Source organism: Homo sapiens, chromosome 2, assembly GCF_000001405.40.
Source record: "Homo sapiens chromosome 2, GRCh38.p14 Primary Assembly".
NCBI lineage: Eukaryota > Metazoa > Chordata > Mammalia > Primates > Hominidae > Homo > Homo sapiens.
In genome coordinates, this window is record NC_000002.12 from 66,081,056 (window position 1) to 66,099,084 (window position 18,029).

The 18,029-nt window shown below is 41.1% G+C and overlaps 1 long non-coding RNA gene across 2 annotated transcripts in view; it reads left to right on the plus strand.

Moving 5' to 3' along the window:
- LINC02934 (long intergenic non-protein coding RNA 2934) overlaps positions 1-7,430 on the plus strand; it is a 298,411-nt gene extending 290,981 nt beyond the window's left edge. For both annotated transcript variants that reach the window (NR_187140.1, NR_187141.1), the window contains exons 5-6: positions 3,455-3,639; positions 4,045-7,430. This is a non-coding gene — a long non-coding RNA (long intergenic non-protein coding RNA 2934). The remainder of the gene's footprint in view (positions 1-3,454; positions 3,640-4,044) is intronic.
- The last annotated feature ends 10,599 nt before the right edge of the window (positions 7,431-18,029 follow it).

Sequence of the window (18,029 nt, forward strand, 5' to 3'; positions counted from 1 at the left end):
ATTGCCCAATGCAGGAAGAGCTCATGGAAATGCTGAGGGCTGGAGAACACTTCCATTTGTAAAGAACTATGCTAAGAGCCGTTGCCTTCATTTTGGGAAGAGTACTTATGTATTTTTCTAATTATAAAACCAATATAAGTTTATGGAAAAAATTTGGAAAATATGAGAAGTATTCTACAACATTAAAATTATCACTAGCTCTACTCTCTGATATTTTAATGCATTTCTTTCCAGTTGCAAAGGCTTCCACACACAACTGCAGTAGGGAGGGCGCAGGAAGTGGGTCAACGCTTTTGGAGGACTGGGTGAAGTTCAGGATCCTGAGGCCCTACTTTTTGGTCGCCCAGGTGAGACGTTTCAAGGCTGGACCTAGGGGAGACCTCTGTTCTGTGCATTTTTTCATCCAGAGGAGGATGCTTAGACCACATTCTTCCCATAGTTTCAGTCCTCAAGTTCTGCAAGTTTTTATAAGCAGCTGCAATGGTCTTTAGTCCAAGGTCTTCATAAGCAGTTGCAATTGCCCCAGAGGTAGGGGAAAGCTAAATCAATATTTAATCTTTTTTGTTTCTTTGTTTTCCTCTCTTAGAACCCTGCAGACAGCTCTTTATTCTCTTTTTTTTTTTCCTTTTTGAGACAGAGTCTTGCTCTGTCACCCAGGCTGGAGTGCAGTGGTGCAATCTTGGCTCACTGCAACCTCCGCCTCCCGGGTTCAAGCAATTTTCCTGCCTCAGCCTCCCAAGTAACTGGGATTACAGGTGCGCACCACCACACCTGGCTAATTTTTTATTTTTGGTAGAGACAGGGTTTGGTATTTATATGTTTTTGGTAGAGACAGGGTTTCTCCATGTTGGCCAGGATGGTCTTGAACTTCTGACCTCAAGTGATCTGCCCACCTTGGCCTCCCCAAGTGCCGGGATTACAGGCATGAGCCACTGCGCCTGGCTCTAATATAATAGTTGTACATATTTAGTGGGATACATGCGATATTTTGATAGCTGTATACAAGGTTTAATGACCAAATCAGTAACTGGTATACCCATCATTTCAAACATTTATCTTTGCTTTGAGAGAATTACAAATCTTTTCTTCTAGCTATTTTGAAATATAAATAAATTATTGTTAGCTCTAATTTACCTACTGTACTATCAAATACTAGAACTCATTCCATTTCTCTAAATGTATTTTTGTACCCCTTAACTTACTTCTCTTCATCCCTCCTCCACCCTTCCCTTCCTAGCCTCTGGTATCCACCCTTTTGCTCTCTACCTCCATGAGATCCACTTTTTAGCTTTCACGTATGAGTGAGAACATGCAATATTTGTCTATTTGGCATTACTAAAAGCCCCTGTCTTACAATGGGAGAAATGCTTTGGCAGAAAAAGCACAGAGCTGAGATTCAGGGGTCCTGGGTTCCTCCTACCCCATACTTGGTTGTGTGATCTTGGGCAAATTGTATCCTTTCTGGAGATGGGGATTGGGGCAGCAGGGAGAAACTAAGTCAATGGCTTTTGCGTGGGAATGGGAGGACAGCTGCACACTATAATCACCTTGGGAGCTTTTTCCAAATTGAAAAGACAAGATCTGTAAAAATTCTCCCTAGTCAAGCCCTTTGTGACTCACTAGGGATGTAGAGGGAGTGAAGAGGGTTGGTAGCAGCAGGTGGGGGCATGGCTGTGGGGACCAGGAGGCCACAAGCTTCAGGGGAGGAGGCTCTTTCTTCTGTTTCTGTTGAGCAGCTGTGTCACCCAGGCAACATTCAGCACCAGCCATCTGAGAGATCACCGCAGTTGGGGAGAGGGGGTAGGGGAGAAAAAGAGCAAAGATGCTGCTATGAACCAATTAGGTGGGGAAAAAAAGCCAACTCTTACTCTGTCTTCTGTTGCTGTGCTATGTTTTGCCTAGAGACATTGACCATGAAGGAAGAAAGGCGTCCTTTTCTTTTTCCTCTGGCTTTAGTGTCCATCAAGACAAATTATTTCTCTATTCTAGTTTTTTAATTTTCTAGAAAGGAAGGAAAGCCTGTCTCTGGAGTTAGATTATTACTGTTCTTATCATTTCCCTGTGCTCTTCTAACTTTTTTAGTTATCCATCTTCTTTCCCTCTTCAATAGAGTTGGCAGGACCTAAGTTGTAGGGACCCTCCATAGTAAGCCAGAAAAAAACCTACTGATAGCACATGGGGACCCTCCATAGTAAACCAAATAAAAACCCATTGATAGCATGTGAGATGCAAGAAAACCAGGAACAAATGCACCTTTTCCCACATTATTTTGGGGCCCTGTTATAAAAGTCTAGACCAGTTTGGGTTTAGCAGTTAGTTTTCCACTCAAAAAATATGAAATGCATTCTATGTTCTTGCAAGACATAACCCTGTTACTTCCACTAAAATAAGACTGTGTTAAATAACTTTACCATGTAGGAGGTTGGTAAAGAGGGGGAAAAGCTTTTGGAACTTGTCACAGTTACTTGGGTTAAATGCAGGAAAGAATAACTGAGGAAATAGAGCTTAAAGATTATTTTGATTTTCATGAGCATTTACACTTTTTCTTCTCTGAATGAGAAGAGTTTTTATTCTTTGGCCTCCTCAATAAGAAATTGGGCACCTAGTGGCTGCTTAGTAATATTTATATCCTGAAGTTTTATATTTAAATCAGAAATCTTTGATGTAGTTACTCAATTATGCCTCATGCAATTGAAAAGCCCCAAACCAGCAATTGGCAGCAACACTTGTACAGATTTGGACATCAAATTGTGATGGAAACCTGTGAGTGACTTCAAGCTCACTGTGAGCCAAGGTGTCAAGGCAACATGAATGGGTCCAGTGGATAAATAAATGAATGAGTCCTAACTTTGGATTCAGCAGAGTATTGACTTGAAAACTGCATTACTAAATCCTTTATCAGGTTACAGCATCAGATAGTCCAAAAACATGGAGGAGGTGTAATTAATCAAAGAACAGTCAATAGAGTACTGGGACTCCAAGCCTATGTGAACCTGAGCAGGTTATCCATTTTTCTGGAGACTTTTACACTTCCTATAAAGTGGTAATACTTACATTAAGAATTGTCCTGAAGGTAAAATGATATGACCAATCTTCTGCATTTAGCATCAAGGCTGGTCAATGAATGCTTAAGCAAGGTGACTATTATTACTGCTGTTGCTGTTACTGATATCAGTGCAGCTGACATTCCGTATTCCCAAAGTAGTTACTAATCATGATAGACTTACTTCAGAGAACTGTAAGAGCTTCAAGGCTTCCAAGGGTGATACAGTTTTCACCCTGCATTTTCATCTACAAACGCAACCCCTCCACAGACTTCTAAAAACCAAATTCAAGTAAGTCGCAGATGCTGTGCTTTCCAGCAGGATAATGTCAAGTAGGTATTGACTTCTGAGTCTGTGTGAGTACATTATGGCATGCCTAAACCCCTCATTTTTATCATTTTATTTTACAGGGTGAGAGCTGAATGTAGGCTCCAACAGGAAGACGGCATTGAAGCCTGGTTGCTTGTTACTACTCAGAATGCCATCTACAAAAGGAAATTATGTAAAAAGCAATAAAGAACCCCTTTTGTTCTTGCAGGAGTCAGTGTTTCATAACTCTTTCTGTGATATCGTCTGTATAAGTTGAACCTCTAAAGTAAGTTTTTGTCTTTTTCCTTTTTGTTTGTTTTATTTGTTTGGGTGTTTTGACTTAAGAAAACTTGCCTTTTTGATTATTATCACCACATGTTGGATGGTTAGGGGTCTCTTGGTCATTAATAAACTTTACTTTAGTCACATCTGTAGTTAATTGGAATGGACACATGGTTGTTCTTATAAATTTCAAATACATTTAAGAGAAATGAATAAGAAATCTACTTCAAGTATCCGTATTAGTTCTTCAAGGTACCCTGGGAAAAATATTTTTATTGTAAAGTTCCTTTATAGAATGGCTTAAAAAGCTTTTAGTTGCTTCACATTTGGCCTGGAATAGACTTTTGCTCAAGCTAGATTTGCATTTATGTCATAAATTAGAAATTTGCATTTATGTCGTTGGGTTTAGGAACCTTATCTAAGTTGCCACGACCTTACTCATTACCCTCAAGAAAGATGAACAATTTAAAGGGGGAAAAAAGGAAGTGAAAAAAATGGCGGATACGAGGCAGAACTAACCTGCAGCTTCCACTCGAAGGGACAGAGCAGAGTGTGGAGACCCACAACTGGAACTTTTTCTCCAAGAACTACCACAGGAACATACCAAGAAAGCCAAGAGAATCCACAGAACCTTTGGAGGAAGTGGTTTGTCACTGCAGGCTCTGTGGGACAGCTGAGGAACTGTGAGTCTGTTTGCTTTCTCAGTTGGGAGGCTTGTAGCCAGCTGGGAGGCTTGTAGCCTGGGGCAAGTTCTCAGCCCTGCTCACCAGCTGCTTGGAGATAAACTTGGGGTCTGGGGGACTGAGACCAGCCTTTTGGGCTGCGGGCTCTGGCAGAGTGGGGTGGGGGGCGGGCGGGGGAGGCATGGGGACTGAGACCAGCCTCTTTTGGGCTGCGGGCTTTGAGGGAGCTGGGTAAGTCCTGTGGCTGCCCGCTTTCTCCCACTTCCCTGGTGACCTGTGTGAGCAGTAGAGGCAGCCATAATCCCTTGGGAGCATAACTCCATTGGCCTAGGAACCACCCCCATCCCCCACAGCAGCCACAGCAAGCCCTGCCTGAGGAAAGTCTGAGCTCAGACATGCCTATCCCTGCCTGCACCTGGTGGTCTTTCCCTACCCACCCTGGTAGTCAAAACAAAGGTCATAATCTCTCGGGAGCTCTATGGCTCTGCCCACTGCCTGAGAAACTTGAATACTTATCCAAAGGCGACCCTAGGACAAGCTTGTATCCTCCCTATATGACCACCACTAAAGCGCTCTTAAAAGTGCCACCTCCTGGCTGGAGGCCAACCAACACAAAACCAGCACACTTAACAAAAATACAACAAAGGACCCTCACAGAGTCCACTTCACTCCCTAGCTACTTCCACCAGAGTGGGTGCTGGTATCCACAGCTGAGAGACCTAAAGACAGACCACAGCACAGAACTCTTTGCAGACACATCCCAGTACTAGCCCAGAGCCTGGTAGCTCCGCCGGGTGGCTAGACCGAGAAGAGAAATGACAATCACAGCAGTTTTGCTCTCAGGAAGCCCCATCCCTAGGGGGAAAGAGAGAGCACCACATCAAGGGAGCACCCCCGGGACAAAAGAATCCAAACAGCAGCCCTTGAGTCCCAGGTCTTTCCTCTGACATAGTCTACCCAAATGAGAAGGAACCAGAAAAACAATTCTGGTAATATGACAAAATGAGGTTCTTTAACTCCAAAAGATCGCACTAGCTCACCAACAATGGATCCAAACCAAGATGAAATCTCTGAATTGCCAGAAAAAAATTCAGAAGGTTGATTATTAAGCCAATCAAGGAGGCACCAGAGAAAGGGGAAGTCCAACATAAAGAGAAAAAAAAATGATACAGGATATGAATGGCAAAATGTCTAGGGAAATAGATAGCATAAATAAAAAACAGTCACAACTTCTGGAAACCAAGGACACACTTAGAGAAATGCAAAATGAACTGGAAAGTCTCAGCAATAGAATTGAACAAGTAGAAGAAAGAACTTCAGAGTTTGAAGACAAGGCTTTTGAATTAACTCAATCCAACAAAGACCCCCCAAAAATGTTTTTAAATGAACAAAGCCTCCAAGAAGTTTAGGATTATGTAAAATGATAAAACCTAAGAGTAATTAATGTTCCTGAGGAAGAATAGAAATGTAAAAGTTTGGAAAATATATTTGAGGGAATAATTGAGGAAAACTTCCCTGGCCTTGCTAGAGATCTAGACATTCAAATACAAGAAGTTCAAAGAACAACTAGGAAATTCGTCACAAAAAGATCATCACTTATGTACATAGTCATCAGGTTATCTAAAATCAAGATGAAGGAAAGAATCTTAAGAGCTATGAGGCAAAAGCATCAGGTAACCTATAAAGGAAAACCTATCAGATTAACAGCAGATTTCTCAGCAGAAACCCTACAAGATAGAAGGGATTGAGGTATTATATTTAGCCTCCTTAAACAAAACAATTATCAGCTAAGAATTTTGTATCCAGCAAAACTAAGCTTCAGAAATGAAGAACATATACAGTCTTTTTCAGACAAAAGCTGAGAAAATCTGCCACTACCAAGCCATCACTACAAGAACTGCTTAAAGGAGCTCTAAATCCTAAAACAAATCCTCATAATACACCAAGATAGAATCTCCTTAGAGCATAAATTTTGCAGGCCCTATAAAACAATAATACAATGAAAAAAAAGGTATTCAGGCAACAGATAGCACAATGAATAGAATAGTACCTCACATCTCAATACTAATGTTGAATGTAAATGGCCTAAATGCTCCACTTAAAAGATATAGAATGGATAAGAACTCACCAACCAAGTGACTGCTGTCTTTAAGAGACTCACCTGACACATAAGGACTCATATAAATTTAAGGTAAATGGGTGGAAAAAGATGCTCCATGCAAATGGACACCCAAACTAAGCAGGAGTAGCTATTCTTATATCAGACACAACAAACTTTAAAGCAACAGCATTTTAAAAAGACAGAGGGACATTGTATAACGATAAAAGGACTAGTCCAACAGGAAAATATCACCATCCTAAGTATATATGCACTTAACAGTGGAGCTCCCAAATTTATAAAACAATTATTATTAGACCAAATAAATGAGGTAGACAGCAACAAAATAATAGTGGGGGACCCCAATACTCCACTGACAGCACTAGACAGGTCAAGACAGAAAGTCAACAAGGAAACAATGGACTAAAACTATACCCTAGAACAAATGGACTTAACAGATATTTACAGAACATTCTACCCAACAATTGGAGAATGTACATTCTATTTATCAGCACATAAAATATTCTCCAAGATAGACCATATGATAGGCCACAAAACAAGTCCCAAAAAATTTAAGAAAATTGAAATTATATCAACTACTCTCTTAGACCACAGTGGAATAAATTGGAAATTAACTCCAAAAGGAACCCTCAAAACCATGCAAATACATGGAAATTAAATAATCTGCTCCTGAATGATCATTGGTAATCAATATGGAAATTTAAAAATTCTTTTAACTGAATGATAATAGTGACAAAACCTATCAAAACCTCTGGGATACAGCAAAAGCAGTGCTAAGAGGAAAGTTCATAGCATTAGATGCCTACATCAAGAAGTCTGAAAGAGTACAAATAGACAATCTAAGGTCACACCTCAAGGAACTAGAGAAACAAGAACAAACCAAATCCAAATACAGCAGCAGAAAAAAAAAAAAAAAAAAAAACAAGATCAGAGCGGAACTAAATGAAATTGAAACAAACAAACAAAAAATACAAAAGATAAATGAAACAAAAAGCTGGTTGTTTGAAAAGATAAATAAAATTGATAGACCATTAGTGAGATTAACCAAGAAAAGATCCAAATAAGCTCAATTAGAAGTGAAACAGTAGATATTACAATTGATACCACAAAAATACAAAAGATCATTCAAGGCTACTATGAACACCATTATGTACATAAATTAGAAAACCTAGAGGAGACGGATAAATTCCTGGAAATACACAACCCTCCTAGATTAAACCAGGAAGAATTAGAAACTCTAAAGAGACCAATAACAAGCAGTGAGATTGAAATGGTAATTTAAAAGTTACCAACAAAAAAAAGTCCAGGACCAGTCAATTCACAGCTGAATTCTATAAGACATTCAAAGAAGAATTGGTACCAATCCTACTGACAGTATTCCAAAAGATAGAGGAAGAGGAAATCCTCACTAAATCTCTCTATGAAGCCAATATCACCCAAATACCAAAACCAGGAAAGGACACGACAAAAAAGGAAAGCTACAGGCCAATATCCCTAATGCACATAGATGCAAAATCTTCAAGTAGCTAACAGAATCCAACAGCATATCAAAAAGATAATACACCATGATCAAGTGGGTTTCATACCAGGGATGCAGGGATGGTTTAATATCCACAAGTCAATAAATGACACACCATATAAACAATTAAAAACAAAAATCACATGATCATCTCAGTAGTTGCAGAACCAGCATTTGACAAAATCCAGCATTGCTTTATGATTAAAACCTCATCAAAATTGGCATAGAAGGAACATACCTTAAGGTAATAAAAGCCACCTATGACAAACCCACTGCCAACACTATACTGAGCAGGGAAAAGTTGAAAGCATTCCCCCTGAGAACTGGAACAAGACAAGGATACCCACTTTCACCACCTCTATTCAACATAGTACTCTCGAAGTCCTAGCCAGAGCATTCAGACAAGGGAAAGAAATAAGGGGCATCCAAATTGGTGATGAGGAAGTCAAACTGTCACTGTTTGCTGATGACATGATTGTATATTTAGAAAACCCTGAAGACTCCTCCAGAAAGCTACTAGAACTGGTAAATGAATCCAGCAAAGTTTCAGAATACATAATTAATGTACACAAATCAGTAGCTTTGCTATATACCACCAGCAACCAGGCTGAGAATCAAATCAAGAACTCCATCTCTTTTAGAATACATGCAAAAAATAATAATAAAATACTTAGGAATATACTTAACCAAGGAGGTGAAAGACCTCTACAAGGAAAACTTCAAAACACTGCTGAACGAAATCATAGACAACACAAACAAATGGAAACACATTTTATGCTGATGGATGGGTAGAATCAATATTATGAAAATGACCCTCCTGTCAAAGGCAATCTACAAATTCAATGCAATTCCCACCAAAATACCACCATAATTCTTCACAGAACTAGAAAAACAATCCTAAAACTCATATGGAACCAAAAAAGAGCCCACATCGCCAAAGCAACACTCATCAAAAAGAACAACTCTAGAGGCATTACATTACCCGACTTCAAACTATACTACAAGGCCATAGCCACCAAAACAGCTTGGTAGTGGTATAAAAATGGCATACAGACCAATGGAACAGAATAGAGAACCCAGAAAAGAAAAAAGCCAAATACTTACAGTCAACTGATCTTTGACAAAGCAAAGAAAAACATGGGGGAAAGGACACCGTAGTCGACACATGGTGCTGGGATAATTGGCAAGCCACAGGTAAAAGAATGAAACTGGGTCCTCATCTCTCATCCTATACCAAAATCAACTCAAGATGGATTGAAGACTTAAATCTAAGACCTGAAACCATATACGTTCTAGAAGATAACATTGGAAAAACCCTTCTAGACACGGGCTTAGAGAACCCAAAAGCAAATGAAACAAAAACAAAGATAAATAGGTGGAACTTAATTAAATTCAAAAGCTTCTGCACAGCAAAAGAAACAATCAGCAGAGTAAACAGACAACCCACAGAGTGGGAGAAAATCTTCACCATCTGTACATCCAACAAAGAACTAATATCCAGAATCTACAAGGAACTCAAGCAAATCAGCAAGAACAAAACAAAGCATGCCATCAAAAAGTGAGCCAAGTACATTGACCCAGCCATCCCATTACTGGGTATATACCCAAAGGATTATAAATCATGCTGCTATAAAGACACATGCACATGTATGTTTATTGTGGCACTATTCACAATAGCAAAGACTTGGAACCAACCCAGATGTCTATCAATGATAGACTGGATTAAGAAAATGTGGCACATATACACCATGGAATACTATGCAGCCATAAAAAATGATGAGTTCATGTCCTTTGTAGGGACATGGATGAAGCTGGAAACCACCATTCTCAGCAAACTATCGCAAGGACAAAAAACCAAACACCGCATGTTCTCACTCATAGGTGGGAATTGAACAATGAGAACACTTGGACACAGGAAGGGGAACATCACACACCCGGGCCTGTTGTGGGGTGGGGGGAGTGGGAGGGATAGTGTTAGGAGATATACCTAGTGTAAATGATGAATTAATGGGTGCAGCACACCAGCATGGCACATGTATACATATGTAACAAACCTGCACATTGTGCACGTGTACCCTAAAACTTCAAGTATAATTAAAAAAAAAAGAAAAAGACAATTTTCAAAAGAAGATATATAAATGGCCAACAAACATATGGAAAAATGCTCAACATCACTAATCATCAGGGAAATGCAAATCAAAACCACAATGTGATGTCACCTCACTCCTGCAAGAATGGCCATGAAAAGAATAATAATGATAGGTGCTGGTGTGGGTGTGGTGAAAAGGAAATACTTCTGTATTGTTGGTGGGAATATAAACTAGTACAACCACTATGAAAATCAGCGTGGAGATTAAAGAACTAAAAGTAGATCTACCATTTGATTCACCAATTCCACTCCTGGGTATCTACTCAGAGGAAAAGACGTCATTATATGAAAAAGATACTTGCACATGCATGTTTATAGCAGCACAATTCGCAATTGCAAAAATGTGGAACCAGCCCAAATGCCCATCTGCCCATCAATCAAAGAGTGGATAAAGAAATTGTGATATATACACACACACACACACACACACACACACACACACACACCATGGAATACTACTCAGTCATAAAAAGGAACAAAATAATGGCATTTGCAGCAACCTGGATAGAGTTGAAGACCATTATTCTAAGTGAAGTGACTCAGGAATGGAAAATCAAACATCGTTGTGTCCTCACTCATAAGTGGGGGCTAAGCTAGGAGGGCACAAAGGCCTAAGAATGATACAGTGGACTTTGGGGCCTTGGGGAAAAGGGTGGGAGGAGGGTGAGGGATAAAAGAGTATACACTGGATACAGTGTACACTTCTCCGGTGATGGGTGTTTCAAAATCTCAGAAAGCACCACTAAATAACTTGTTTATGTAACCAAACACCACCTGTTCCCCAAAAACCTATTGAAATAAAACAATAAAAATAATTTTTTAAGTGAAGGGTAAAAAGACAATTAGGTCCCAAAGTAGAGAGAATCTGATAAAAAAATTTTGCCCAGTTTTTTGTCACCCAACATTCAAGTTTCCATGAAAGAAATCAGCTCTGCTGAATTAACACTGGAGACATATTTCATGACGTCCTTTAACCATCTCTCACCAGATAAGATGAGGATTCGATAAGCAAGAGAAATGTTTTTTAGGACTGTTTTGACTTCGTGTTTGTGTATTTAAACAAAACAAAACAAAACAAAACAAAACATCACTAATCTATCAGACCAAGGTGGGTTTTGCCATTAGGAAATGACGGTCTGAGCCATGTTGGGTTGAGAGAGCAGATTGGGTGGTGTGGCTTGTTCCCGCTGATCACCAACAAACATGCTTCTCCCAAGGTTAGAGGGCAACCACAAAGCCATTAAAGGCCACTCCTCTAGAGCCAACTGCCATGGCTTATGCAGCTATCCCCCCTGCTATCTCTCCAGGGTCACAAAGAAAAGGAAACAGGAATTCTGACCTGACCTCCACAAATGCTCAAATGCCATCACCTGCTATTTTGACACCAATTTGTCAAGTAGTTCTCAACCTAAAAGTGCATCACAATTGCCTGGGTTGCACTTTATAAAGGAGATTCAGAATAGGTTTTGACTGAGCAAGTCTGGGGTAGGGCCTAGAAGTCTGCAATTTTAGTAACAACCAGGAATAGTGTTGATGCATGTGGTATCTGAACTAGACTTTTGGAAACATCAGCCCAGCACAGTGGTTCACAAACCTGAACATGCATGAGAACCACTTGACTGGCTTGTTAAAAACCCAGATTACTGAGTCCAATCTCCAGAGTTTCTCATTCAGTAGGTCAGAGGTAGGGCCCAGGAATTTGCATTTCTAGCAAGTTCCCAGGTGATCTTGCTGCTGCTGCTGACAGGGGCCATGCTTTGAGAACCAATGTCCTACTAAAACCCAGAAAGAATGCCTCTTTAAAGCACTGTCGACTAAGAAGGTGGGATACTCCTTGAGAAAAGAAAAAAGCAAATGGACACTTACTGAGTATCTGCTAGGAGAAGGTAACTGGAACAGTGAAATCATATTTATTTTCCTGGTCACTATTTTTTTAATGTTTTTTGCAAATGAGAAATCCAAAGGTTGGACCAGTTATGTGACATCTTTAAAGGTCACATAGCCAACTAAAATGTTTTAAACTATTTTTTTCTTTGAGTTTTTGTAGTTGTACATGCAGCAATTTCAGGTAGCTTTTTGCCCAGTGAGGTTGCTTTTTATTGCTTCCCAACTCAGCGTAGACTTACCTAGTTTTGCCCTGTGGAAGGAAAATGGCATTCCTGCCACACATTCTGTCTGATAGAGGAACATCTCTTCTGGAAAGATGGCTGGATTTCCTCGCTTACATTTACCATTGCAGGGGCCAAGAAGTTTATCCAGAAGGAGAAACCATCATACAATTAGCAAGTCAAGTCATAAGGCACTGATTTCATTTGTTTATTTATTTATTCATTTATTAGTTCAGTTAAATATTTACTGAGAACAACTGTATTTGCTGGGTATTGTGCAAGGCACTAATAATAACAGAAAGACTCCTGGAGTGAAGCCAGGAAATCAGAACTGTGTGCTGTCTTCTCCATGTGCAAGCTTTGCTCCTGGGTAAGTCCCTTCAGCTTTTGGGGTGTCAATCATCTCCCTATTAGCAAATGCAGGGAGGGAGATGAGCCTTGGTGATTTCCAAGGCTCCTTTATTTTTGTACACTCCTGAGTTTATAGTTCAACTCTCACAATGTACCTAACCTTTGTGCTGTGGAGTGAGTGTGTGGAAGGAAAGCTTGGGGGATGTAGAAAGAACAAGAGGCAGAAGGAAGAGTCCTTGTCTTTGGAAACAGAGAAGATCAAAATATGCACATATGACATCACTGGAGAAACTTACAATTCAGCATCTAACCCCAAAGGAGCTCAGGTAGTACAGCTTCTTATGGGAGGAGCGGTCAAGGATGGGGGAATATAAATGAGGGAGTGAGGAATGGTGAGGGGTGGACTAAAGGAATGGAGAGAGGAGTGAATTCAGCAAATGTGACCTCAGAAGCAGAAACTTTTCTGATTTCACTCCCCTTCACAGGCCAGCGTCCTCTTTCCTGTGTTGGTCACATCCTCAAATGCCTTTGGGGCTGGATGAACAGTCGGCTTGTGGGTAAGTATGCCAGGTTTAGCACATAAAAATATAGGAAGCCCAGTGAAATTTGAATTTCAGATCAACAACATAATTTTTTAAAGGATCAATAAGTCCCAAATATTGCATGGGACATACTTATACTTTAAAATTATGCCTTGTTGATCTGACATTCAAATTTAACTGAGTGTCCTGTATTCTTTTTTTTCAAAATGGTTTTATTCCTCAAACCTCTGCATATGCCAGTCCCTTGTTTTGTATCACCGGATCTTATCAGGTTGCTTCTTATAAGAAAAGCTCAGCTAGACTCCTAATTAGACTAGATATCCTCCTTTTTGCTCCCACTTTGCATTTCTTTTATATATATATATATATATATATATATATATATATATATACTTTAAGTTCTAGGGTACATGAGCAAAATGTGCAGGTTTGATACATAGGTATACATGTGCCATGTTGGTGTGCTGCACCCATCAACTCATCAATTACATTAGGTATTTCTCCCAGTGCTATCCCTCCCCCAGCTCCCCACCCCAGGACAGGCCCTGGTGTGTGATGTTACTTGCCCTGTGTCCAAGTGTTCTCATTGTTCAATTCCCACCTATGAGTGAGAATATGCAGTGTTTGGTTTTCTGTCCTTGTGATAGTTTGCTGAGAATGATGGTTTCCAGGTTCATCCATGTCCCTGAAAAGGACATGAACTCATCCTTTTTTATGGCTGCATAGTATTCCATGGTGTATATGTGCCACATTTTCTTAATCCAGTCTATCGTTGATGGACATTTGGGTTGGTTCCAAGTCTTTGCTATTGTGAATAGTGCCACAATAAACATACATGTGCATGTGTCTTTACAGTAGCATGATTTATAATCCTTTGGGTATATATGCAGTAATGGGATCGCTGGGTCAAATAGTAATTCTAGTTCTAGATCCTTGAGGAATTGCCACACTGTCTTCCACAATGGTTGAACCAATTTACACTCCCACCAACAGTGTAAAAGCGTTCCTATTTCTCCACATCCTCTCCAGCATCTATTGTTTCCTGACTTTTTAATGATTGCCATTCTAACTGGCGTGAGATGGTATCTCATTGTGGTTTTGATTTGCATTTTTCTGATGATCAGTGATGATGAGCATTTTTTCATGTGTCTGTTGGATGCATAGATGTCTTCTTTTGAGAAGCGTCTGTTCATTTCCTTTGTCCACTTTTTGATGGGGTTGTTTTTTTCTTGTAAATTTGTATGAGTTCTTTGTAGATTCTGGATATTAGCCCTTTGTCAGATGGGTAGATTGCAAAAATTTTCTCCCGTTCTGTAGGTTGCCTGTTCACTCTGATGGTAGTTTCTTTTGCCATGCAGAAGCTCTTTAATTAGACCCCATTTGTCTATTTTGGTTTGTGTTGCCATTGCTTTTGGTGTTTTAGACATGAAGTCCTTGCCCATGCCTATGTCCTGAATGGTAATGCCTAGGTTTTCTTCTAGGGTTTTTATGGTTTTAGGTATAACATTTAAGTCTTTAATCCATCTTGAATTAATTTTTGTATAAAGTGAAAGGAAGGGATCCAGTTTCAGCTTTCTATCTGGAAACTCTATGCTGTGGGGGAACATCTCAGGACCTGGGCATAGACAATAAGGGGACAGGAGCCCCATTTTATTACACTTTGGCTGTTCCCTGCTTCTTAACCAATGGCTTACTTAGAATGCCTAATTTTTTTTTTTTTTTTTTTTTTTTTTGTGGCCAGAGAGTAGAAAGAACCCAGCTTCCCTTTCGTCTGCTGTGCACCCTTTCCTCAGGCTGGGATTAAAAGCAGAGAAACCCTTGGCATCCTCTTCTGTCATAAACCTGCTCACCACCAGGGTTAACCTGAAGTCATCCGGCAGCATTAGATTCCTCTGGAGCTTCCTTCCCCTGGTCTGGGAAGCTCCTCGCTACATACCCGAAATCTCTCTGCTTGCTCTCTCTTGCCTCAGCTGTATTCTCATCATTCTGCAGCTCAGTGGTGTAGAAACAGCAGAAAGAGTGAGAACAGCTGGAAGAGGAGCTTTCTGACACCAGTGGGGTAGGGACTGGCTGGGTTATTTTTTTCTAGTTCTGTTTTTGTTTTCTTAAGAAAAACGGTCTCTCGCTTTCCCTCCTTCCAAGCCTACACACCAGGTCTTTGGGTTGATTTTTGTCTTTATTCCTCCCATCTTCCTGTGTAGTCATTTTTGCCCTCACCTTGAGATCCTTGAGTTTATTGCCAGAAGGAATTTGGCTTTGCCTGCTGGGTGGGCTGTCTTCAAGGATGCCTGCAATCCAGAGGCTGACTGGGGACCCTGTGTTAGTCAGGGTTCTCCAGAGAGAGAGAGAACCAATAGGATAGACAGAGAGACATATAAAATGATATTAGTTATAGGAATTGGCTCAGGCAATTATAGAGGCTGCAAAGTTGCACAGTCTGCTGTCTGAAGACTGGAGACCCAGGAAAGCCAGTGGCATAATTCAGTCTGAGCCTGAATGCCCAAGAACCAGGGTGGCTGATGGTGTAATTCCCACTCCAAAACCAAAGGCCTGAGAACCAGGAGCTCTGATGTCTGAGGTCAGAAACAGATGTATGTCCCAGCTCAAGAAGAGAGAGAAAGAGAGCACGTTCACCCTTCTTCTATCTTTTTGTTCACTTCAGGCCCACCTTGGTGAGGGCAGACCTTCTTTACTCAGTCTACCCAATTCAAATGCTAATCTCTTCTGGGAAGACCCTACAGACACACCCAGAAATAATGTTTTACCAGCTGTTTGGGCATACTTTAATCCTGATGAGTTGACATACAATTGTCCATCACAGGGCCTGAGCAGTGCAATCCCTGTATGCATTCCAGGCCATCTTATTCTGTGTAATGCAAGTTAAAAAAGATTTTGGGGACACAAAGTAGTATCTGCACTTTCTTCCTTATGTGATTAGGAGCTTCAGATGGGCAGACAAGCTCCATTCATTAATTTATTCCACCAATACCTCTTCAGTGCCTACTTTGTGCCACAACAAATGTTTTCAAATGCAGCTCTGTGTATGATTACTCAGGAGATATCAACTCAAGCTTATTGTAATTAGTCTGTTCTCATGCTGCTATGAAGAAATACCCAAGACTTGTTATTTATTAAAAAAAAAAAAAAAGAGGTTGAATTGACTCATAGCTCTGCATGATTGGGGAGGCTTCAGGAAATTTAAAATCATGGTAGAAGGGGAAGGAAACACGTTCTTCTTTACATGGTGGCAGGAGAGAGAAGTGCTGAGCAAAGGGGAAAAGCCCGTTATAACCATCATCTCAGGAGAACTCACTCACTGTCAGGAGAACAGCATAAGGGTAACTCTCCCATGATTCAATTACCCCCCCACAAGGTCCCTCTCATGACACATCGAGTTTATGGGAACTACAATTCAAGATAAGATTTGGGTGAAGGCACAGCCAAACCATATCACCTATAATCTGCTGTCATGTGCATGATATGGTGGGGTGTGACCCAACTTACAGCAACCTGATAGCCAGCCTGGAAAATGCCAGGACTGAACTTTGGCCTTCCTACCAGAAGGGACCAGGTGCTAGGAAGTACAGGTTGGTGGGTAAAATATGGCATCAGAAGAACAAGGTAACAGAGAACAAGGTAACAAGGTAACAGAAGAACAAGGTAACAGTTATGGCAAGATGTCAGGTGGAGGAGGCCCCACAATCCAGGGAAGTCTGTTAGCAACTCAAGCCTTAGCTGTAGACCAGGTCAGGAGCAGGAACTTTCCTGAGAGGAAGAAGAGAAGCCCACAGAGGAGGGCAGGAGGGCAGCCCTAGAGGGCCTGGGAACAACTCAGGTTTTAGGCTGAGGCTTGGGTGTAAGGATCAAGACAGAGGCTGTTACCTGGTTTATGGCAAAAGAAGGGGCTGGGTCTCAGAAACAAGAAAAATGTCCTCCCTTGGCAAAACAGGAACAAAAGTTGGGAGCCACAGAAGCAGCAAGTGATTGCAAGTAATCAAAATCTGAAGTTAAAATTGCTTAAAGTCTACTTTTCCAAAATCAGAATTGTTCCTTTGGGTTCCATGAAGCTGAGCCTGCATGTGTGGATTAAGCGGCTTTAGTAGGGGGCCTGGTGGGATGGATGGGTGCTGGACAGAGCCTACCATCGCTATCAACCCTTGTGGGTTTTTGTGATCACAGATATTTGATGAGTGTTTCAGGCATTGAAAAGAATTTCTATTTGGTGAACCAACCCAATCAGACTAGATTCTTGGAAAATCTATATGGCAACAACTTTAAAACTTCATCCAGACTGGAGAAGCAGATAGAAGGCACTGATTTTCTCTAGAAACGGGGGCTTGAGCTTGGTCCCTGGGGATGGAAGAAAACCCTGGAAGAAGCCATCAAAACCTGATATAAGCTGAGTTATGATACACAGTGGTGTTTGCCAACCTGTTGTGGAAACAGCTCTCCCTGGAAGGCCATGCAACGGTCTTTGCACGGCCAAGGGCTGGAGACCCACCATGGATGTGGCCCTGGAGATGAGTGAAGGGGAGATATTCCTGGCACAGGCCTTTAGGCCAAGCAGGCAAGGCCCTCAAGTAGTGATGGAGTGAAATGCCAGCAGGCGCTTCTCTCCTCTGAGCTTCTGGATTCAGCGCATGACAAAGCCAGCTGTATCTCTGGTGATACATGACTGTTACCAAGCTGTCAGGTACATGGAGCCATCTGAGCAGAAAGATCCATCTACGGTCGAGTGCAGGTGAAGCAGAAATGCTGGGTGCCCAGCACTAGCTAGAAGGGCTGGGTTGAAGACGTGGAGGAGGCATGTGGAGGGAGTATCTGCAGCTTCCTCTAACAGGAGAGAGGCCAACGGTGCAGGAGGAATCTCCACAGATTCAGGGGCCATCGACAGTGAGAGTGCTCCCCAGCATCTTCCCTGAG